This window comes from Homo sapiens, chromosome 22 (genome assembly GCF_000001405.40).
Source record: "Homo sapiens chromosome 22, GRCh38.p14 Primary Assembly".
Taxonomy (NCBI): domain Eukaryota; kingdom Metazoa; phylum Chordata; class Mammalia; order Primates; family Hominidae; genus Homo; species Homo sapiens.
The window spans coordinates 18,548,910-18,572,763 of NC_000022.11; the positions used below are offsets into that span (position 1 = coordinate 18,548,910).

Consider the following 23,854-nt stretch of genomic DNA (forward strand, 5'->3'; position numbering starts at 1 on the left):
ACACGTGCTCACTGAATAAGATTTAGAAACCAAGAAAAGTATGAAGAAAAAAATGAAGATCGCCTATAGTCCCACATCCCAGGGTCATCTGTGTCAGTGCTTGGTGTATTTTCTCCAGCCTCTCGAGGCTGCATTCTGTTCAACCCGGTTCACCGTGTGGACATTGCAGGTGTGAGGTGGCAGCACCCGGGATGTACCTGATGCCCTGACAGGCACTGGGTAGGTGACTCTTCTCTATAACCCTGATAACCCTCTGTGGCTGTGAGCGGGAAGACCCCTCTGTGGGCTGCTGAGCTGGCAAGGGCAGAAGAGGGTTCTGGATCCAGGGCCTGGCTCCTCCTCTCCACCCCACACAGACCCTACCCGATACCTTCATCCCGCTAACCAGATTAGGAAGGCCCATGGAGCCGAGGCGAGCCTGCAGCCACCATGGCCAGGCCTGGGAGCCCAGGGTCAGGCTGCTCCCATGGCCCAGTCATGCTCAGCCAGGTCCCCATTCCGTGGGGGGGCATGAGGGGTGCCCAGAGGGAGCAGCATGGTGCCCGGGAGACACCTGGGTGCTGCAGAGAGTAAGAGGTGCAGCTCACACATGGAAAGCCCCCATGATTTCTGGGTGTTTTTACAAGGAGACCAACAAACAGCATTTGGCATCTGGCCAAAGAGGATTCTATCCCTCTGTTGTCCCAGCAGCACCAGCTTCTACAAGGGCTCCAAGCGCCTGTGCAGAGGTGGCAACGAGGCCTAGTGAGTAGAACACACACCGCGGCTCCCTCCCCAGTACCCATCCCCTCCCTTCTTCCTCATGAGGTGGATCAGGGTGGCCACGTGGCCAGTCACAGGGCTCTCAGCCAGGGTCCCTGCTGGCTGAGGCGGCCACTGTTCTCCCCGGCCACTCTAATGAGCCAGGGAGAGTGAACTGGGCAAGGCCCTGGGAACACATGCCAGGGTGAGCTTCATAAGGTCAAGGCAGCTGGCCTCTGCCCTTTGCACTCTGTCCTTGTCTTCCTTCCTGCTGGGAGGCACAGAAGCCATCTGGAGGCTGTGAGGGTGGAGACAAAGGCCACATAAGCCCAGGATGGCCAGGAGCCGACAGGAGCCTGGGGCGGGGCTCTGTCTGCTGCTTCCCTCTAAGCTGCCCATGGGGTGAGGACTCCTGGGGGACGAGGCACTACAGCCTGCTTTGTGTTTCCTGCAGACCGATTAGTCTTATGGAAGCAGACAAGGGAGCAAAAAAATGGCGGTGGGGGGGACCCCAGAACTGCCACGGACAAGAAGCCATCGAAGAGACACACTCCCATCTATTTGTTAAACAACCACATCCTGGTGGCTGCCTCTGTGCCAGGGCCTCGTGGACTCTGGGCATGGTGCTCTGAATGAAGACAAACATGACCACACAGTCTATGGTGGGGACCACAGACAACAAGAAATAAGCTACACACACTGAGAAACACTAAGAAACAGCAGTGCGAGTGAGCGTGTGGCCAGGTGGCCAGGGAGAGCCCTGGCAAGGAGGGGACATCTGAGATGAGCCCTGGAGGAGACGCAGGAGTGAGGCGCAAGGCACGGCCATCTGAGAAGAGGGAATGCATGACGCGGCCTATGGTGGGAGCAGCCCAGGAGGGCAGCTTCAAAAGTGAAACTGATGGGATGTGCTGAGAATCATCCGTGGGAAGTGCAAGCAGGACCCCAGCATGGCCACAGCACAGCAAGCGAGGGGAAGAGAGAGGATGGAAGTCAGGTGGGAAGGGGGCTTGCAGGTCACAGAAACAAGCCCACCTTCGAGTCTGTAGGGGGGCTCTGATTCCCCCCTGGCTTGCGCCAACCGCATGTGGAGAAGGGGAAGATGCCTGGGGTTGGGGAGCAGGAGGCCAGGCCAGGGGGCAGCAGCTGGGATGCTGGGACTTGTCAGATCCTGGATAAACCTCAAAGGTGAAGGTGATGGGATGTGCTGAGAGTCATCAGTGGGATGTGCATAAGAGGGAGTCAAAGATGTCTGAGCAGAGAGAAGGACCTCGCTGGCATCTACAGTGAAGGGAGGGACCTCGCTGGCATCTACAGTGAATGGAGGGACCTCGCTGGCATCTATAGTGAAGGGAAGGGTCACGCTGGCATCTACAGTAAAGGGAGGGACCTAGCTGGCATCTACAGTGACGGGAGGGACCTCGCTCACATCTACAGTAAAGGGAGGGGCCACACTGGCATCTACAGTAAAGGGAGGGGCCCCACTGGCATCAACAGTGAAGGGAAGAACCACCCTGGCATCAACAGTGATGGCGGATGGGCGACCAGTGCAGCGGTGTCTGGAGCTGAGGTCGGACCCATTAGTTGGGGCTGCTAATCAGTTCACCATGCAGGCCGTGGGCCAAGCCACTGAAGGGATCCACCTGGACTAGGAGTGACTGGGCTGGGTAAGCAGTGGAGCTGGCCAGAGTAGCCAGGCAGGGAGGAGGAGCCCTGGGGCATGCCAGTACTGAGAAGGCCCTGAGCTCAAGAAGGTCCCTTTATTCTGGAGGATGAAAGGGCTACAAAAATTACAAAGGCCTTAAGTCCCTGGGAAAAGCAGTTAGGCTCCCAAAACAGCTGCTTTCAAGACCCAGAACTCTGAAGGAGGCTGTGAGCAGCTTTCCCTGAGCTGATCTGTCCTCCTACCATCTGGGACCTGCTAGTGATATCTGTACTCCAACTGCCCTGCCCCCAGGGGTCAACCAACCCACTCCTATCTGAGGACCCACTCCTATCTGAGGACCAGACAGAGAGGCCAGAGGTTCAAGGGCACCTGGACTAAGGAAGTGGAGAGGAGAGAGACAGATCTGGGCTCCAGAGCCCCAGGTACAATGTGAGGGCTGACACGTGGTCAGGAGCACCCCCAGTGCCCTGTGAAATGGGAACGGCTACAGCCCCTACTCTTTTTCTTTTTTTTTTGAGACGGAGTTTCGCTCTTGCTGCCCAGGCTGGAGTGCAATGGTGCGATCTTGGCTCACCGCAACCTCCGCCTCCTGGGTTCAAGCGATTCTCCTGCCTCAGCCTCCTAAGTAGCTGGGATTACAGGCACATGCCACCACACCCGGCTAATTTTGTATATTTAGTAGAGACAGGGTTTCTCCATATTGGTCAGGCTGGTCTCGATCTCCCGACCTCAGGTGACCCACCCGCCTCTGCCTCCCAAAGTGCTGGGATTACAGGCGTGAGCCACTGCGCCTGGCTGAGCAGCCCCTACTCTTAAGGCCCACCGAGGTCTGAGGCTGAAGCAGCATATGGAAAGGAATCCTGACCATAGCAGCACTGTGTCCTGACAGTCACAATTTGTGGTGAAACCAGGGCTTTCTGGTGACCCCAGAAAACATCAGTGCCGGCTCTGCCAGCACCCAGACACCTGGTACCCCGAGACTGGCAAGGGGACTGGAAGAGGGCAGTGGCCTCCAGGCTCCCTCCACACTGCCCAGTGCTGTGTGCACACAAAGGACCACGGGTCAGACAGATAGAGGCCGAGCTGTGGGGCTGTGTGCCACCCAGAAACTCCGGGGAAAGGGGCCAGTGGCGGTCCCCCCTCCCCTGCGCCTCACCAGAGTGCCAAGGGCCCAGACACCATGTGAGCAGCAGCCAGCGGGGCGGGGGGGCCTCCTGAGCCCGTGGCCTTCCTGGGGGTGCATCAATGCCTGGTCACCTGGGGAAGAGAAGACGAACACAGTCACCCAGACAGCCATCAGCGAAGAAGGGAGGGAAGGGCGATGAAGGGACGCACCTGGGGGTCTCTGGCTGGGGCACCAGGGGCAGCCCAGCAGGAGACTGTGACCACAGAGCCTGGTAGTTGGATCTGACAGCCAGGAAGAGTAAGGACCAGCGAACAGGTCTAGGGAGTTCGGTGGGTGCAATACCTGCCCCTCTAACACAGGACATTAAGGACACCCAGGGGCCACCTAGGCCAGGGGGCGCTGGTGGCAGACACACAATTCTTGGCCTGCGGGTGTGGTAGCAGGAGGCCTGGGCAGGGCCCTTCCCAAGCTGGCCACATTTACATAACAAAAGGTCAAAATTGGAGCCACTTGTGCAAGGGCTATTTATAAGAACCAGTCTCAACCGCTTTTGGCTCCCCCGTTCCTTCCCTTCCTGATCTGCTCTCACCGCCTCCCTGCCCAGAGGGCCCAGCCCCCTAGCCCGCCTGGCCTGACCACATGGCCTTCCCTCTCCAGAGGTTTCACTGCCTAAGGGCTCACCCAAGCTGCAGGCCTGGGCTTTCAATACCGGCCCACCAAAGCCTTGGGCAGCTGCCGCCAGGAAACGAGGGGTTCCCTCCCACCCCCAGAGCTCTGGGTCCTGCAGGAGGGGGGATCCTGAGGTGGTGGGTCCTTGCACCCCACACCTGCCAGCCTGGGCCCCCACGGAATAGAGCCGGGGTCGGGGAAGGGGCGTGCAGCGGCCCGTCCCCGTTTCCCCTTCCCCCACTCCACCCCCAGGGCCAGGGAGGCTCAGCAGGTCCCTCAGGAATGTGACCAGACCCGGGGTGCCGGCCCAGAGCTGGGAGGCCTAGGCTGCAGCTGGCCAGCTGTCTCTCCAGCCCCTAGTGCAGCTCCCCTCTGGGTGGGGGGTGTGAGGGGAGGGGGTGCATGGCTGGTCCAGGACCCCACCAAAGGCCCAGAGGGCAGCAGAACCAGCTCTGTTGGTAGGAAGCCCAAGGGCGTCCACAGTTAGCAAGGGTTGGGCCCAGTGGGCTAATGCTGGGATGAGGCCAGTAGGGCAGGGGCCACTGAAACACTGGCGGGAGCAGTCGAAAAACTGGGTAGAGGGTCTCGGTGGCACACTGGAGGCAATCAGATACCACCATCCAGCCCTGTGCCACTTCATCTGCTCCCCAACCACTGCCCCTCAGGACCCAGTCAACCATGGGTAGAGCGCATGCCAAACTCTGCAGCCAGGGGTCACCTGACCTTGCCAGAGGCCAGGCCAGCTACTGGATGCCGCGCAGGGAGTGGGTGGCAGAATAGGACTGGGGGGCACCTGAGTGCCATGGGGGTGGGAACACCCTCCGTCAGTGCCCACTGCCTGGCCCTGTCGGGCACTTTACAAGCCCAAGGCTAGCACTAGGTCTCCCCACCAAGGAAGGATGGCCCCAGGCTGGGTCAGCTGTGATGTAGAACAGGGCAGGGCTCCTCCCTGAACCCTCCACTTGAGTTAGGGGGTGTCAGAGCCACCTGCAGAAAGTTCACAGCAAGCACAATGCCACCATGCGTGCCATCCACACCAGCTGGGCCAAGTCTGGGCCACATCTAGGCCGCCACTGTGTCTGCGAGCAGCAATGCAGCCTCACCCCATGGCGGGGCAGGGGGTGGCACACGCCATCCTGCTGCGAAACGCCTACTAAGCACTGCTCCTTCCTTCTCAGCCACAGAGCTCTGCCCTACCCGCTCACCGCTGGACATGAAACAGCAAGTGCCTATCCTGGAGGGCTCCGCCTGGGGAGTGCCAGGTAACTAGAAACACGGCTCTGGGTGCTGGCCCGGATGCTGGTGCTCAGCCCTGGAAGCAGCTGACTGCAGGCTGCGATGAGAATGCCACCTAGCACCCAGCAGCCCCTGGCAGCAGGCCCGGGCAGCACGCCTATCAGCCCCCAGGCTAGCACGCCCAGCCCTGGCCTACTGCCCATCCAGAAACGCTGGCTCCCAGGACGCCCAGGATCTGAGGCAGTAGGGCAGCAGGCCTGGGCTATCGGGGCCAGCTGGGCATTCGCCTAAGGCTGTGACCCATCCCCTCCCTAGGACAGAGCCTTCAGGGGTCCAGGGGAGAGGCAAGAAGGGTAGCACAGAAACTATCTCCCAAGTTAGGATCCCTCAGCTCCAGGATTCCCCCTGTAGGTGGACTGGCCCCAGCTGGGAAGGACAAGAGCCCCAGCAGCTGGAGGGAGGGCCAGCTCTCTCTGCGGAATCCTGAAGGTCTGCAGGAAGGAACACAAAGCCTCGGGGTTACCTTCCCAGGCCATCTGTTAGAGCAGACACACGGCCCTGTTTACGGAACAGCCAACATGCCAACTGCTCTCCTTTCCTTCCCCTCCCAGTCCCCGCCACAAAAAAGCCAGAAAGCCATGTCCCCAGACACTGAGGGCAGGCCCAGGGCCCAGGCAGGTGCTAGCGGGCTGGAACAGCACTCAGATACTCCAGCCTCTCAAGCCACTGGTGGCACATGCCCAAGCTCTGTAGAACTGGGCCAGCCACAGCAGCCCCACCCCCGCTCTGTTCGCCCTCAAAGAACTTACAGTAAGGCAGCTGCTCTGCAAGGCCCAGTCAGAGCCTACCCGGCCCAGCAAGTCCATTCTGTGGCAAGAAAAACCTTGGGGACACACATACCCAACTGCTAAGTAAGATTATCTCTGGGGAGCGGGATTACAGAAAAACCATAGTATCTGTATATTATGTTCATTTCTGTAATACTCAACATTTTAAAAAGTATTACCTTTTTTTTTTTTTTTGATGGAATCTCATTCTGTCCCCCAGGCTGGAGTGCCATGGCGATCTGGGCTCACTGCAAACTCTGCCTCCCAGGTTCATGCCATTCTCCTGCCTCAGTCTCCCGAGTAGCTGGGACTACAGCCGCCTGCCACCACGCCCGGCTAATTTTTTGTATTTTTAGTAGAGACGGGGTTTCACCGTGTTAGCCAGGATGGTCTCGACCTCCTGACCTTGTGATCCGCCTGCCTCAGCCTCCCAAAGTGCTGGGATTACAGGTGTGAGCCACCGTGCCCAGCCAAAAGTATTACTTTTAAAACCCTAAAAATACAAAGGGCAGAAATGATGCAGAGACATGGATGAACCTCACAGTCGTGGCACTGAGTGGAAGAAGACTTTTGCGAGAGTACAGACTGCATGACTCCATTTACATCAAGTTCTAGAATAGGCAAAACGGACTGAGGGTAAAAACCAGAGCAGAACAGGCTGTGAGCGACAGGTGAGGACTGTCCAGGATGGGGCGAGGGACAAGCGCCCACTGCCTGGCCCTGACAGGCCTATCCAGGACGGGGCATGAGGAACTCTTTGGGGTGAGGGCAGCTCTCTAGCTTGCTGGGAATCTGGGTTAAGGTAAATGAAAATACAATTTTAGGCCCTTAATTGTATGTAAACTTTACTTCCAATGAAACCTCCAGACAGAGGCTTTCACAGGACATTCTCATCTCAGAAGCTCAGCACGATACCCTGGAAACACCACCAGCTAACCTTTCCTGGGCACTGTTGTATGCCCGACCATGTGCTATGTCACTGGAGCCGCAGGGCCACCCAGGAGCCTGTGCGTTCTGTCCATGTGATCAGGTGGGCTCCTCTCAATCTTCACACAGCACAGCTGAGCCTCAAACCCAGCACTCACCCTGACCTCTCACCTCCCCACAAGGTAGGAAAACCTGGGGCTGAAAGTGTGCAGGGACATGTCATCTTTAGCCTTGGGCAAAGGCAACCTTTCCCACTGATGATTTCCAGATCACCCAGGGGTATTGGTTCTGCCTCAATTTTCCAACTGGCACAGAGATCAAGGGCGACGGTGAAGCAGATTGGAAGGGCAAAGACGCCACGGTGGGAACAGGTTCCTATCCCTCCCGGCTGCTCTCCAGCTGGGTGGCCCTCAGTGCATCTCCAGAGGGCAGTCAAAAGCCCCAGGCCAAGACCACCCTGCACTCTGGATCCCTCTACTCGCTCACCAAACACAGACCAGCCAAATAACCAACGGGGATGGCAGAGGCCAGGGCACTGTGCACCCCTCGCTGCCTCCTGACACTCGAAGCAGCCCCCCATTGGGGGACCCACTAGCCCATGATCCTACGCGAGCGAGGTCAGGCCACACCTGCCCGTGTGTGGAGCCTCTGGTCAGTCCACATGGCTGCAGGGGCCTGTGGGGAGGCTGGAACAGGGTTACCTCAAGGCCTTTCTTCTAAGCACCCAGCAAAGGGCAGGAGAGTGTGCTCTAGTCAGCATCTTTCAAAGGCCAGGAGAGAGGAGGTTTTCAGATCAAAGTGATCCCTGCTGAGGCAGAAAGCAGAAAACTCCAGCCCCAATTCTGAGAGGCACTGCCCCAACCCAGCCTGGATACCCACCTTGCCTAGAACCTTGGCCTCCAAGAAGCCAGGCATTCAGAACTGCTCCAGGTGCTGGGCCTCCACATGGCTCCTTCTGGAGGCCATGACTCTGGGAGACAGGAACACATCTCACGCCCATATCCAGGCCCACAGGCGGGGGTCAAACTCAGGGTCAAACTCATCTCAGCCACATGATAACCCTGCCTTCAGACTGAAACTTCTGGCTCACGCCCAGCCAGGAGGGAGGCCTGGGGAGAAGGGTGAAGACCAGGAAAGGGCGCCACCCCAAGCAGGCCATCCCGCCTAGCCCTCCTAGGATCCTTCTCATCCACCTTCCTCCCTGGAAGCTATCCTTTACTACCAAGAAAGGGGCTTCCTGCAGGAGGCCTGGAGCTATGCTGGAGGACTGAGGAGAAGCTCCCCCCAGCCCACTCCCAAGGAGCAGCACCTTAACCACCTCCCAGCCTAAACAAAAGTAACAGTGAAATGAGAACCCTCCAGCTAACGCCAAGACAGCTGAGAGTGAGCAGGGCCGCCCACGGCCCGCCCGAGCTCCACTGTCAGGTGGGAGGGACAAGCATGCCAGGCTGAGAAGCCATGCTAGGCAGGGCAGGGCCACCAGGCAACTTCCACAACCCAGAGGTCTAAGTACATCTGACCAGGGTCAGAGAGAGCCCCAGACTTGCTGCCACTGCTCCCAAACTTCAGTCTAAGGTCAGCATCGGCCCTGGTTCCAGACCAACCCCCAACTATAGTCACCTCATACTTCAGGTGTGGCCGGGACAGATGCAGCTGCAACGGGTGGCCCTGTGTGAGCTCAGCCTCTTCCCAGGAGCCCCTAAGCCATGGGAGAGACTGCCTGGAAGGCACAAGGCAGCCAGGCAGGAGGCAGCCAGTATCCAGAAGTGCCCCAAGGCCCAGCCCCTGGACACACCAACCAGCCCTGCACAGTCACAAGCCCAGGACTTTGTTCATCCTATCCCCATGGCCTGGAGTCCTCCCTGAGGAAGCCTTGGTAGACAAGAGATAGCTCCAAGGGGCGAAGGCTGCACCTCGCCCACCGCCACAGCCCTGTATGAGATGGCAGCCTACATGTGGGCAGGTCTGATCTCCTCAATCTTCCCACAGGCCCAGTGAGCGGGGCGTTATCTCTGCAGTTTCAGATAAGAAATTAAAGGTTCTTGGGGGTTAAGCAACTTGCCCAGGGTCACAAGAGCATGTAGGTAGCAGAGTGAGGACCTAAAGCCTGACTCCAGTGTTGTAGTCTGATGACCCCCCCGCCCAACGCAGGCAGGGCCAGGGATGCCACTCACACATGGCTTCCAACTGCCAAGCTGCTTGGGGGAGCTAGAGGAGGCACCGCCCTCCATGCACTGGTGTGCCAGGAGCAGGGACTCCAGTCTGCACCTCCACCCTCACTCCCCCACCCCCCAGCACCACCTGCCTATCCACAGCAGGGCCCCACCTGGGTGTATTCTCCCAAACTCACTGTGAGGGCATGGGGTCTGCCCAGCTCCTCCACCAGAAGTGACAAGGTGGAGCCCCCATGCAGCCTGCTTTGGAGGCCCAGGTTGTGCTTGCTGCTCCTCTGGGAACACCCCCACCCTCCATGACCTCCTTCCCTGTCCCTTCAGGAATGGGCTGGTGGTGGGTGGGGCTCACTGCTCTGGGCAAGCCCAGCCATGTAATCCAGCCCAGACCTGGATGCCGGCCAGCAGCTCCTGGCTCTCCTCCCAGACCATCCTCCTGGAAAGCAACAGGCTCCACAAATGCCAGGAGCCCAGCTCTCTCCAACGCAGCTTCTACAAAATAAACACTCGGGTTCCACTCAACACATTGGTGATGCAGCGATTGGGACCTGAGGCTGGCCTCCTCCTCCTCTGCTCCTCAGGCCAGCCCTGTGGCCTAAAGTGAGGGAGGTAGCATCCACCCCAGCCCAGTGACTTTCCCAAGCCCATCCTGAAATGCCCATGGGACCTACTGATGACCTCGTACTGCCCACAGCAGGGCCAAGCCCTGCATGGTCCGAGCCACCCGCCCATGGGTACTGTCCCTTCTGAGGTGAGGAAGCCCGGGCTAACACCCCAGCACAAGGAAAAGGCTGGAATGGGCTGCTGAGAGGAGAGCTGGACCGAAAGTGCCTCCAAACTGTGCTTCCCCCAGAAGGTACAGCCTCAGTCCCCTCCCTCTCCTCATCACTTCCGGGTTTGGAGCCAGCAAGGAATGAGGCCAGGAAGACCTTGGAGACCTGCAGCTGATTTCCCCTGCTAGTGCTGGCACCAAGGAGGGCCCCAGGCCTGGCACAGTCTGGCTGACAGTTCTGAGACAGGATATTGGAGACAGGCAGGGGAACATTGCTTTAACAAGCAGAATAACGGCCAGGTGCGGTCTGTAATCCCAGCACTCCGGGAGGCTGACATGGGTGGATCATGAGGTCAGGAGATCAAGACCATCCTGGCTAACACTGTGAAACCCCATCTCTACTAAAAATACAAAAAATTAGCTGGGTGTGGTGGCACGCGCCTGTAGTTCCGCTACTCCGGAGGCTGAGGCAGAATTGCTTGACCCTGGGAGGCGGAGCTTGCAGTGAGCCGAGATCGCGCCACTGCACTCCAGCCTGGGTGACAGAGTGAGACTCTGTCTCAAAAAAAAGAAGCAGAATAACAATTTAAGGTTGTGATAGTGACTACGAATGCTGTGCTCACCTCCAAACTCCATCCCAACACTACCCTGCCCCCTAAGAGGGGCCTGAGCATGGGGTAAAAGGCTCGCTGACAGCCACAGAGCAGGAGCCCACGCAAGACCACCAGAGGATGTGCAGCTGCTGTTCCTAGTAGGTGAGGAAAAAGCAGGAATCTGGCATCCACACATGTCAGGAGGCAAAACAGGCCCTGTGCTGGTTTCTGCAGTCCTCTCCAGCCCACTTCCCTGCTCTTCTTGCTCACTGGCCATGACCCAAGAAACAGCAGCAGCACCACCAGGGATCTTGTTAGACACGCAGAGGCTCAGACTCCATCCAGCCCTAACCACCAGAACCCTGGGGGCTCAAACACACAGTCAAGTCTGAGAAGGGCTAGGTTAGAAGCTTTTTTTCCTTCTTTTGTTTTTACCTGGACACCACTGATTGGAAAGCTCTCTACGGCCTGAAAGCCAAGCGCTCCACAAGTAGTAAACGCTCAAGGGATGGGCATCAAGTGGAAGGAGAAAGCCCCCAAAACGAAGATACATGTCCCATGTACACAAGCTCACAGGCTGGTGAATACAAACGGTAGACCTAGAATGTGCCACACCAAGGCTGAGCGTGTTACCACAGGTACCAGAATGGTGACCACGCTGGAGGGTTCCACAAACCCTGATCAGAGAAGTAGGCGTGAGTGGCAGGCAGAGAACACAGCTCTGTGTGGCAGGGAGGGAGGACAAGCAGTGGCAGCACAGCAGACAACAGGTGGAAATTCTACATGAAAGGCACTAAATGGGCGAGGAAAGCCTGGGCCGCCCAGGTGGAAGGGACTATCGTGATCATCTCTCTCACCCTAGGGACACCTTAAAAGGAGGTAACTGAGCCCCAAAGGGAGGCACCCAGCACAGCTGAGTCACAGAGCTGCAGCCATCCAACCCACAGCTCCAGGAGGGACTCTCCAACTTCACAATTTCAAAATCAACCCTAGCAGCTAACAATTTCTTAATGCCAAGTAAAGACTAGAATTAGAAACAAACAGAAACCCTATCATCTTCTACCATCATTACTTCACAAAAGAAAACATTTCAATGATCAAAGAGCAGGAAGAACTACTGGCAGTCCTGCACCTATGCAGTTCTCCAGGCCTGGCAAAGGCTCTGAGGCAACCAGCATGAAGGAGCCACTGCACCGTCTGTACGCAACACCGCCTGACCCCCGGGCTGGGACAAGACTGAGATGACATGCTGAAAGGGAATCAGAAAAAACAAAAACACAAAAATTCAACAACAGATACTAAAGACGGGATTTTGACTAGCCAAACAAAGACTAAAAGAGTATCTCCCAGGGATGAAAGGAAAATGGGGATGTTTTTAAACAAGACCAGGACTGTTCCAGAAACAATAAGAACGTCAAAGCCCATCAGGAAAAAGGTAACACCAAATGTTGGCCAGGCAGTAAGGCAACCAGAAGTCTCACATACTTTATAATTTTTTATTTTTTTGAGAGAGAGTCTTGCTCTGTCACCCAAGCTGGAGTGCAGTGGCGAGATGGCTCACTGCAACCTTCGCCTCCCAGGTTCAAGCAATTCTCCTGCCTCAGCCTCCCGAGTAGCTGGGATTACAGAAGTGCAGTGCGCCACCACCCGCAGATAATTTTTGTATTTTTCGTAGAGATGGGGTTTCACCATGTTGGCCAGGCTGGTCTCCAACTCCTGGCCTCAAGTGATCTGCCCATCTCAGCCTCCCAAAGTACTGAGATTACAGGCATAAGCCACCGCACCTGGCCAGAAAACTCACATGGTTTAGAAAACCCTTGGATGGCACAATCTAAAACTGTGGGCCCAAGGCCGTGGGTGGTGGCTCACGCCTGTGATCTCAGCACTTTGTGAGGCCAAGGTGGGTGGATCGCCTGAGGTCAGGAGTTTGAGACCAGCCTGGCAAACATGGTGAAACCCCGTCTCTACTAAAAATACAAAAATTAGTTGGGCGTGGTGGCAGGCTCCTGTAATCCCAGCTATTTGGGAGGCTGACGCAGGAGAATCACTTGAACCCAGGAGGCAGAGCTTGCAGTGAGCTGAGACTGCGCCACTGCACTCCAGCCTGGGCGACAAGAGCCAACTTCGTCTCTAAATAAATAAAGCAAACAAGCTAGCTAGCTAGCTAGCTGTGGGCCCAAAAACTCACCCAAGGTATACGCCAACAAGAATGCACACGTATGCACACCAAACAGGCAGGCACACTCATGAAGGCCCAACAATGGAAAACAACTATGCCCACCCTGAGAAGGGACAGCTGCAGGTATAAAAGACTATGAGCCAGCAGTGAACAGGACAGAACGTTTAGGTTGAACTGTATGAATTTACCTTTTAGGGGTAAAAAAACAGCTGGCTGCTGATAATTTCACATGGTTTGACTTACAAACAACGCAGATGAATCTCTCAAATATACTTTTGAGCAAAGATGCCAGAGCCAAAAAGACTATTACAGTTCCATTTGCATACATTCAAAAGCAGGCAGCACTAATCTTATGGGTGGGGGTTGAGAGTGACTACAAGCTTCAGGATACGTGAGGGGCTTCCAGGGTTGTGTTTCGCACTCTGGATGCTAGTTACAAGGGCATAATCATTTGTGAAGAACTCTTGGAGCTGTGCACACTTCTTACGTAGGCTGTCCTTGAATTCAATACGTGCACAGAAACCTTCAGAAGGGAAGCAGAGATCAACTTCATCCTGATCAGCAAGTAGACTCAGTCCAGGCAGCAACCTCTCCTGGACCCCCAACCAATAACAACAACACAGGAAGCAAAATATTGGCAGGACAGCTGGCAACGCGGCAATGTCCAGGATGGAGTGCCCATCCTAGAGGAGGGAGCTCACACAAGCCAGCCAGGAGCCCACAGGAAACAGAGAGACTACTGTAAATCCTTATTAAGAGCAGACTCATGTCTGCTATCTAAAAGATAAAAACCTGATAATGTTTTTAAGTTGTCCTAAGGTCCAATTGACTTTTTTTTTTTTTTTTTTTGAGACAGAGTTTTCCTCTTGTTGCCCAGGCTAGAGTGCCATGGTGCAATCTCGGCTCACCGCAACCTCCGCCTCCCGGGTTCAAGCGACTGTCCTGCCTCAGCCTCCCGAGTAGCTGGGATTCCAAGTGTGCACCACCATACCTGGCTAATTTTGTATTTTTAGTAGAGACGGGGTTTCTCCATGTTGGTCAGGCTGGCCTGGAACTCCCGACCTCAGGTGATCCGCCCGCCTCGGCCTCCCAAAAGTGCTGGGATTATAGGCGTGAGCCACCACACCCAGCCCCAGTTGACACTTCTAAAGGAGAAGGGGTTCTGCAAATCCTGAAAGGCAAGCCCAGGAGAAACAGGAAATCTGGGAGCACGGCAAGCAAGGTTCAAACAGGACACCAAATAATTCCCAGCAACCGCCTCCAGCAGGTCCTGGTGGCAGCCAGGTAGGGCAGGAGCCAGCTGGGCATATCAAAGGGAGGAAGCCAAGAAGAAAATGGGCGAGACTCTCAGGGATTTGGGGTCAAAGGAAGCCGCTGGGAGAAGGAAACAGCCCACTTGCTCCTTCATAGGTAATCAACACACAAACCCCCCAGTGCCTCAAATGGCTCAGGAGCTACAGCCAAAGATCAAGGATCAAGTTATTTTACTCCAAGAAAGAAAAAAAAAAGAAAAAGTTATACATTCGGCATCCATTGGAAGTTTTGTGATTGTTTGGAGACAGGGTCTTGCTCTGTGGCCCAGGCTGGAGTGCAGTGGCGCGATCATAGCTCTAATTTATGGGCTCAAGGGATCCTCCCGTCTCAGCCTTTTGAGTAGCTGGAACTAAAGGTGCATGCCACGATGCCCAACCAATTTTTAAAATTTTTTGTAGAGATGAGGTCTCACTATGTTTTCCAGACTGGCCTCAAACTCCTGGGCTCAAGTGATCCTCCTGCCTCAGCCTTCCAAAATGTTGGGATTACAGGTGTGAGCCACTGTGCCAGGCCTTAAAAAGCAATTTTTACAGATAAAATTGGGCAACTGCTATGGAAAATATTACAATCTATGGTCCTGTGCCTGAAAAGCCTCCAAGTGTGATACTTTATAGAGAAGAGGTCTCTCCTGTCCAGTAGGTAACTTGAAAGTGTCTAAGAGACAAGTGCCCAAGAACTCAAAGAATGAGAGAGGGATCCATTCAAACTCAGGGAGAAAAATGCTCACAAAGTTTCACTGTACTTCTAAACTGAGTCTCAGTGGTGCATTAAGGAACTGGATTTAGAGACAGAAAACAAAATAAACTGGCACTTCTCTGCCTCAAGAAGCATAGCTTGGGGGTGAAAAGTCAGCTACTTAGAAAGCAGCAAAAACAAAACCCAGAAACCCACCCAAATGCTCACTGCCAGCAGGACAGGTGATTATGTGTGGATGGCGCCACCTTGGACACTGAAATGGAGAATGGGAACGCAGGAACTGCTGCTCCTGGTGTCCCAAGAGTGCAGGACACCCGGCTCCCAGCGAACTGAGCCAAAATCATTCGCAGTTTCAGGATCCAGACAAAGGTGGGAAACCGACAAAAGCCAGCGAATGGCTGACCCGCAATTCAGAAGACTGTTGGCTTCTAGAGGGAAGTGGGAATAAGCCAGGGAGAAGTGCATGGGGTGTCCCAGGAACTTGGGAGGCTATTTCTTATGTGGCCATGAGGGAACAACGGTGTCACGCTTAGTGGGACACCCACGATTCAACCAATAGTGGGTTTACCACTACTTATCTATTCTTTAAGATTTGTGCACACACATATATACGTGTAATTTACCTTTGTTTTTTTTTTTTTTTGAGTATTCCTCTGTCGCCCAGGCTGGAGTGCAGTGGCACAATCTCGGCTCACTGCGACCTCTGCTGCCCGGGTTCAAGCGATTGTCCTGCCTCAGCCTCCCGAGTAGCTGGGGATTACAGGCACCCATCACCACACCCAGCTGATTTTTGTGGTAGAGACAGGGTTTCACCATCTTGGCCAGGCTGGTCTCAAACTCCTGACCTCAAGTGATCCGCCTGCCTCGGCCTCCCAAAGTGCTGGGATTACAGGGGTGAGCCACCACGCCCGGCCTATTTACACCTTTGTAAATAACTTCTTAGAGTTCAATGGCTAAGTATACTAAGGAAGCTGAGCCTGCTCTGTGCAGAAGTCTCAAAAGAAAGGAAAGTCGGGTGTGGTGGTTCATGCCTTTAATCTGAGCACTTTGGGAGATTGAGGCAGGAGGATCGCTTGAGCCCAGGAGTTCAAGACCAGCCTGGGCAACAAGGCAAGACCCTGTCTCATTTATAAAACAAACAAACAAACAAACAAACAAAAAACAGAGAGAGAGAGAGAAAAGAAAGAGAAAAAAGAAAGAGGAAAGAGACCTCCCTGGAAATCCCAATCCAGGGAGAAGCCAAGAGGCTAAAGCTGAGGTGCACTCACAGAGCACCTCCCTTTCACCACCCGAGAGATCACCTGGTCCACAGCCGTCAAACTCAGCAAGGCCACACACTTGGGCAGCTATGACAACAATGCACAAATGAGGGCTTTGGAGGGCTCAGTTCCCACAAGAGATAACCCAGAAAATATCACCCTGTCCTAATCATACAAAGCAAAAGAACCTGGGGCCTCCACACCTGGGGTAGCAGGTATGCTTCACTCAACAGAAGTTGTCCAGGAGGGAGAAATCCCAGGCAACCTCCCAAGGTCTACAGGAGAAAGAAGGGCAGAATCAGAGCCACTCTAAGTGAAAATATCAGCGTTTAGAACACAATCACCCCCCTGCAACCCCTCCAGCCAACCCTCGCCTAGTCCCTGTACCCTCCAATTCAGAGTCCAATAACCCTGAGTTATCTTTCTCAACACCCATCTCATCAAGCCACTCCCCTGCTTAAAGCTTTCAATGGGCCGGGCATGGTGGCTCACACCTTTAATCCCAGCACTTTGGGAGGCCCAGGCGGGCAGATCATCTGATGTCTGGAGTTTGAGACCAGCCTGACCAACATGGAGAAACCCCATCTCTATTAAAAATACAAAATTAGCTGGGCATGGTGGCGCATGCCTGTAATCCCAGCTACTCAGGAGGCTGAGGCAGGAGAATCACTTGAACCCGGGAGGAGGAAGTTGCAGTGAGCCAAGATCGCGCCATTGCACTCCAGCCTGGGCAACAAGAGTGAAACTCTATCTCAAAATACAAAAAAAAAAAATTAAAAAAATAAATAAAGCTTTCAATAAATTCCTGATGCCTAGCATAAAGTCCATGCTCAGGCCTGGCATGCAAAGCACTTCCCACAGGGGCATCAAGCCCACCTCATCCCTTCCACAGACACACCTGAGAGCTCCTGCAGGCCGTGCCCTACTCTGGGAGGAGCCTGCCCCCTCACGACTCCCTCCTCTGTGAAGCCAGAACTGCCTCTGTTGTCCCCCCGCTTCCAACGTCAGCACCAGCTGCCAAGCTGCTTCCCTCCTGCCTACCCCCACCACCCCATAGACCAGTACCCAAAGTTAGACCCTGTGTCCCAAGCAGCCACAGCAGCAGGCATGCAGCAGGCACTCATAAACATTCATTAGGTGAGCAAATGCTGGTCAGACCCAATGCTGAGAAGAGACAGAGTGAAACAACATGTGAAAGATAAGGAGGCACGTGGGGAAGATGGAAATGTCCAGTACCCTCCTTGCCACTGGTTCTAAAATTGTGTTGTTTACATTCTGAAATAGTCAGGGCTCCTAACGAGCATCTGCTTATGTGGCTTCTCTATTACTGTTTTGTGGGGTTTTTTCTGAGACAGGGTCCTGCTCTGTCACCCAAGCTGAAGTGCGGTGGTACAATCATAGCTCACTGCAACCTCGAACTCCTGGCTTCAAGCCATCCTGCAGCCTCAGCCTCCCAAAGTGCTGGGATTACAGGTGTGAGCCACTGCATCTGGGCTGTTGCTGTATTTGATGTTACCATGTACTACAACAGTGCCCTCTTATTCAGTTTTTTTTTTTTTTTTTCCTGAGACGGAGTCTCGCTCTGTGGCCCAGGCTGGAGTGCAGTGGCGTGATCTCGGCTCACTGCAAGCTCCGCCTCCCGGGTTCACGCCATTCTCCTGCCTCGGCCTCCCGAGTATCTGGGACTACAAGCGCCCGCCACCGCGCCTGGCTAATTTCTTTTTGTATTTTTAGTAGAGACGGGGTTTCACCGTGTTAGCCAGGATGGTCTCGATCTCCTGACCTCGTGATCTGCCGCCTCAGCCTCCCAAAGTGCTGAGATTACAGGCGTGAGCCACCGTGCCCGGCCAAAAAAATTTTTTTTAAAGGCTGAGCACAGTGGCTCACGCCTGTAGTCCCAGCACTTTGGGAGGCTGAGGTAGGTGGATCACTTGAGGTCTGGAGTTCGAGACCAGCCTGGCCAACATGGTGAAACCCCATCTCTACTAAAAATACAAAAAATTAGCCAAGCGTGGTGGCAGGTGCCTGTAATCCCAACTACTTGGGAGGCTGAAGCAGGAGAATGGCTTTACCCCAGGGGAGGGTGTGGGGTGGAGGTTGCAGTGAGCCAAGATTGTGCCATTGCATTCCAGCCTGGGCAACAAGAGCGAAACTCTGTCTTAAAAAAAAAAATAGGCTGGACGCAGTGGCTCATGCCTGTAATCCTAGCACTTTGGGAGGCCGACGCGGGTGGATCACCTGAGGTCAGGAGTTTGAGACCAGCCTGCCCAACAGGGTGAAATACAAAAATTAGCCAAATGTGTTGGTGCATGCCTGTAATCCCAGCTACTGGGGAGGCTGAGGCAGGAGAATCACTTGAACCTGGGGGAAGCAGAGGTTGCAGTGAGCCAAGATCACGCCATTGCACTCCAGCCTGGACAAGAGCAAAACTCCCTCTCAAAAAAAAAAAACAACAACATTTAAAAAAATACAAAAATTAGCTGGGCGTGGTGACAGGTGCCTGTAATCCCAGCTACTCAGGAGGCTGAGGCAGCAGAATCCCTTGAACCCAGGAGACGGAGGTTGCAGTAAGGAGAGATTGTGCCACTGCACTCCAGCCTGGGTGATAAGAGTGAGACTCTATCCGAAAAACAAAACAAAAAAAGGGCTGGGCACGGTAGTTCACACTTGCAATCCCAGCACTCTGGGAGGCCGAGGCGGGCGGATCACGAGGTCAAGAGATCCACACCATCCTGGCCAACAGGTGAAACCCCATCTCTACTAAAAAATATATATATACATACAAAAATTAGCTAGGTGTGGTGGCGCGCACCTGTAGTCCCAGCTAGCTAGAAGGCCGAGGCAGGCAAATCACTTGAACCCGGGAGGTGGGGGTTGCAGTGAGCAGAGATCGCGCCACTGCACTCTAGCCTGGCGACAGAGCGAGACTGTCTCAAAAAAAAAAAAAAGAAAAGAAAAGAAAAAAAGAAGGATAGCATTGCTTTACACTTTTATAAATCTCTTTAATGTCTAGCCTAATAGAAGAAGCTGGATTCTCATATCTCCTGCATTCAGTCTGTTAGGATATGCGGTTTTGATTAAAGTCTTTAAAGAAATTTGGCCTTACACAGAAAGAAGGAAGGAGTATTTTAATAACTTTTTCAGAAAACTGTCTATTCTTCATTGATATTACACTAAAGCTCGACAAATGAGTTTCTTAAAAGTTGCTATGGGCCAGGCGCGGTGGCTCACGCCTGCAATCCCAGCACTTCGGGAGGCTGAGGCAGGTGGATCACTTGAGGTCAGGAGTTCAAGACCAGTCTCGCTAACGTGGTGAAATCCCGTCTCTACTAAAAATACAAAAATTAGCCAGGTGTGGTGGCAAGCGCCTGTAATCCCAGCTACTCAGGAGGCTGAAGCAGGAGAATTGCGCAACTGCACTCCAGACTAGCAACAGAGCAAGACTCCGCTTCAAGGAAAAACATAAATAAAAGTTGCTATGTAGGCCAGGTACGGTGGCTCACATCTGTAATCCCAGCACTTTGGGAGGCTGAGGTGGGCGATCACAAGGTCAGGAGTTTGAGACCAGCCTGACCAACATGGAGATACCCAGTCTCTACTAAAAATACAAAAATTAGCCGGGTGTGGTGGCACGTGCCTATAATCTCAGCTACTTGGGAGGCTGAGGCAATAGAATTGCTTGAACCCGGGAAGCAGAGGTTGCAGTGACCCAAGATCGTGCCACTGTACTCCAGCCTGGGCAACAGAGACTCCATCTCAAAAAAAAAAAAAAAGTTGCTATGTAGGCTGGGCACAGTGGCTCAACACCTGTAATCCCAACACTTTAGGAGGTCGTGGTAGGAGGACTGCCTGAGCCTAGGAGTTCAAGACCAGGAAGATCCCATCTCTGGAAAAAAAAAAAAAAAACAGCTGGGTGTGGTGGCACATGACTGTGGTCCTAACTACTCGGGAGGCTTATGAAGGAGGATCATTTGAGCCCAGAAGGTGAGGCTGCACTGAGCCGTGATTACATCATCACTGCACTCCAGCCTAGGCAACTGAGGGAGACCACATCGTCAAAAAAAATTAAAAATAAAAAAAAAATTGTAAAGCCTCATGCCGGGCATGGTGGCTAATACCTGTAATCCCAGCACTTCGGGAGGCCAGGGCGGGTGGATCACCTGAGGTCAGGAGTTCAAGACCAGCCTGGCCAACATGGCGAAACCCAGACTTTATTAAAACTAGAAAAAATTACACCAGGCGCAGTGGCTAATGCCTGTAATCCCAGCACTTCGGGAGGCTGAGGCGGGCGGATCACGAGGTCAGAAGTTCGAGACCAGCCTGACCAACATGGTGAAACCCCATCTCTACTAAAAATGCAAAAATTAGCTGGGCATGGAGGCGCATGCCTGTAATCCCAGCTACTCGGGAGGCTGAGGCAGGAGAATCGCTTGAACCCAGGAGGCGGAGGTTGCAGTGAGCGAGATCGCACCACTGCACTCCAGCCTGGGCGACAGGGAAAGACTCCGTCTCAAAAAAAAAAAAAAAGAAAAAATTAACCAGGCGTGGTGGCAGGCGCCTGTAATCCCAGCTACTCGGGAGGCTGGGGTAGGAGAATCGCTTGAACCCAGGAGGCGGAGGTTGCAGTCAGCGAGATCGCACCACTGCACTCCAGCCTGGGCGACAGGGCAAGACTCCGTCTCAAAAAAAAAAAAAAAAAAGAAAAAAATTAACCAGGCGTGGTGGCGGGTGCCTGTAATCCCAGCTACTCGGGAGGCTGAGGCACGAGAATGACTTGAACCCAGGAGGTGGAGGTTGCAGTGAACTGAGATTGCGCCACTGCACTCCAGCCTAGGCAACAGCGAGACTCCATCTCAAAAAAAAAAGCCTCATGCATCCTTCCTATTTCATCACACAGAAAAGTAAAAATATGTGTAATTAAAGGTCTAGATTTAATACTCAGTCATCTGTACTGCCTCCCCTGGACATGTGTAGAACTGGTGGGTCTCAGCCCCCAGTGCTGGCTAACAGTGGGGAACACAACTCTGGCAGTGCAAGTGTCCACCCAGGGCAGAGGCCAGTGATTTTTTTTTTTTTTTTTTTTTTTAGATGGAGTCTCGCTCTGTCACCCAGGCTGGAGTGCAGTGGCAAAATCTTGGCTCACTGCAACCTCCGCCTCCCAGGTTCAAGCCATTCTCCTGCCTCAGCCTCCTGAGTAGCTGGGACTACAGGCGTGCGCCACCACACCCAGCTAATTTTTGTATTTTTAGGAGAGGCGGGGTTTCACCATGTTGGCCAGGCTGATCTGGAACTCCCAACCTCAGGTGATCCACCCGCCTTGGCCTCCTAAAGTGCTGGGATTACAGGCGTGGGCCACCGCATCTGACCTTGTAACTTCTAAATATACTGAAAAAGGTATCGGGGACCCTCAGGGTCTGCAAACAACTTTGAGAATAGCTGACAAGCACTGCCTCAAATATTTCTAACAACTCGTTTACAGGCAAGGAGAATGAGGCCTGGAGAGCTTAAGAGACTGGCCCACGGAGGAAGCAGGAGTCATCTTTCCACAAAACTACACTTCCCCAAAAGCTGAACTCTTGGACAAGGAGCCCACTGCCAAACCTAAGAGTAACAAATTTCAGCAAATAAAAGGAAGTGCCATTTCCAATGGCATCCTCGAATACTCTAAGAGGCGGGGCTGGCAGAATCCATCAACAGGCCTCCAGAGGCCTGCTACTAAGAGCCAGCAACGCTGCTGAAAGCGGCACTGCCTCTGCAGGCTGTGTGACCAGGACCCGGCGGGGGCCCTGCACCTGGAAGCAGAGGGGGTCGGTGGGGGAGGGGTGCTACCAGGAAGCAAGATGTGCATGCTGCCTGCTGGGGGCATGAAGTCAAAGTCCCCTCCTGCCCAAAGTGGCTAGGCCAGCCCTAGGCTGCCTTATCAGCATCAACACATGCCTGGAATGTGGGACTTTGGCAACAACCCTCTCCCTTCGGCCAGCACGGGGCTGACGCCTGGTCCCTGGGCTCTGGTTCACAGTCAGAGGACAACCACCTTGAAGCACCAGAACCCGCACCCCCAGCCCATCTACCAGAAGACAATCTACCAAGAGTCACCGAGAGGAGCTATCCTGCCTGTGTCCCCACACCACCAAGGGCCGTGTCTGAGCACCTCGTTTGTCCACACTCAGAGAATCTCAAGAGCTCAGCTCTGGTCCCTGCAATGTCCAGACCATCCCCCACATGGCTCTCCTGGAGGTGTTCGGCAAAGGCACAGGCTGCCGTGGGGCAGAAGATTCCCACATACCAGACAGTAAGGAGCTGCGTGTGACTGGAAGGATGAGGACGACCCAGAGAATGCTCTCTGGCCCCTGGTCCTTGGGGAGGAATGGGGGACCTGCAGGGGACCACCTTCCCACTCTGGGAGCCAGATTCCCTGGCTTTGTCCAGAGCAGCCAACCCACTACCCCACTCAAAATGAACACCTCAGCTGCCCTCCAGCCCAAGCACTGCGCAGAGTAAGGAGTCCTCACTCACAAATGTGTCCGAGGCTTTCACACACTTCACCTGGAGCTTCGCCACTCACTTCTTAGATGTACGACTCTGACTTCTCTGAGCCACTTGTACAACGAGGACTGACAAGATGATGAGGACCACACCGGTGTGTTCTGACAACTGAACCGGGCATAGAATGCCCACTGCCAGGCTGAGCCCAGGAACGAGCCCAGGATGAGTGCTTACCCTCTTCACCACTACCTTCCTAGCCTTCTGTCAGAACTCCGTGGGGACCATCCTCTTCCCATCTTCTAAGCCAAGTACCCTGGTACAAGCCAGACAGAAACTATAATAGCAGCTGCTTCCATAAAGGGGAAGGGCCATGGGGTCCCGGACAGGGCTGGGGTGAAGGGGCACAAGACCTAGGGCAGGAATCCACCCCCAGATCACTCACTCAGGACAGGACCACCTGGACCCAGCTACCAAGATGTGCACCACCCCCTTCCTTCTGAGCCCCTTTTCCCATCTCCTCTACTGCCCCTGGCCAGGTTGCTGTCCCACCTCTAAGAGGCAAGATTTCCTACCCAGGATGCTGACCAAAACCACACCCAGGGGCCTACCCGTCCCCTCACATGATAGGCTGCTCCTAGCTGGCAGGAGCCGTCTTATAGCCTCTCTCCCTCAAATACAAACAAAACCCCAGAACAACCTATTGTTCTGTTCCAGCAAAGGGGGCCAGGCCCAGCCAGGCCCTACCTGAAGCTCTCTGTCTCCCGTCCCCCTTCAGTCCCCTCCCACTCGTCCTTCTCTGCCCCTATTAGTGGCCTCATATACCTTGTCCAGATAACACAGCCCAAGAAACCAACCTCAGGGACAAATCTCTTCTCTTCCAGGGAGAAGAAGACAGAGGTCCCAGGAGTCCCAGGGGCCCCCATTACTGGCCACCTCCGCTCAACCCAAACTGCACTATGTGAGGTCCCGCCAGACTACATACAGGCCAACGAGAGCCCAAGAATGCAGCCAGGAAACCAGGCCAGGCAGACTCCAAAAGCCCGTGCTACGGGGTCAGTAGGACCCGCCTACAGCTGAGGGCTATAGGCAGCTCTCCAGAGGACCTCCCAGGAGAAGCCAACAGTGCACATGGGCTAGGTTCCTCCTGCTGTTCACCCTCTGTGCCCAGTAACTACCCAGGAACAGGCATGAC

At 54.4% G+C, this 23,854-nt stretch overlaps 1 long non-coding RNA gene across 2 annotated transcripts, besides 2 other annotated features; it reads left to right on the plus strand.

The window, feature by feature from the left end:
• Positions 1-2,337: 2,337 nt before the first annotated feature.
• On the plus strand, positions 2,338-23,754 carry LOC124905077 (uncharacterized). Of its 2 annotated transcripts, none has more exons than XR_007068001.1 (3): positions 2,338-2,408; positions 5,381-5,464; positions 23,544-23,754. It is a non-coding gene; the product is annotated as an uncharacterized LOC124905077 (long non-coding RNA). The 2 variants fall into 2 exon arrangements; XR_007068000.1 differs by lacking the exon at positions 23,544-23,754 and adding an exon at positions 21,656-21,742.
• Positions 4,671-5,228: an enhancer, noted in NCBI's record as "H3K27ac-H3K4me1 hESC enhancer chr22:20403447-20404004 (GRCh37/hg19 assembly coordinates)". NCBI's record gives its function as "activates a minimal SCP1, AML or CMV promoter by ChIP-STARR-seq in naive H9 embryonic stem cells {active_cell/tissue: H9 hESC(naive)}" and the evidence as "EXISTENCE:reporter gene assay evidence [ECO:0000049][PMID:30033119]".
• Positions 17,246-17,811: an enhancer, noted in NCBI's record as "H3K4me1 hESC enhancer chr22:20416022-20416587 (GRCh37/hg19 assembly coordinates)". NCBI's record gives its function as "activates a minimal SCP1, AML or CMV promoter by ChIP-STARR-seq in naive H9 embryonic stem cells {active_cell/tissue: H9 hESC(naive)}" and the evidence as "EXISTENCE:reporter gene assay evidence [ECO:0000049][PMID:30033119]".
• Positions 23,755-23,854: the final 100 nt, after the last annotated feature.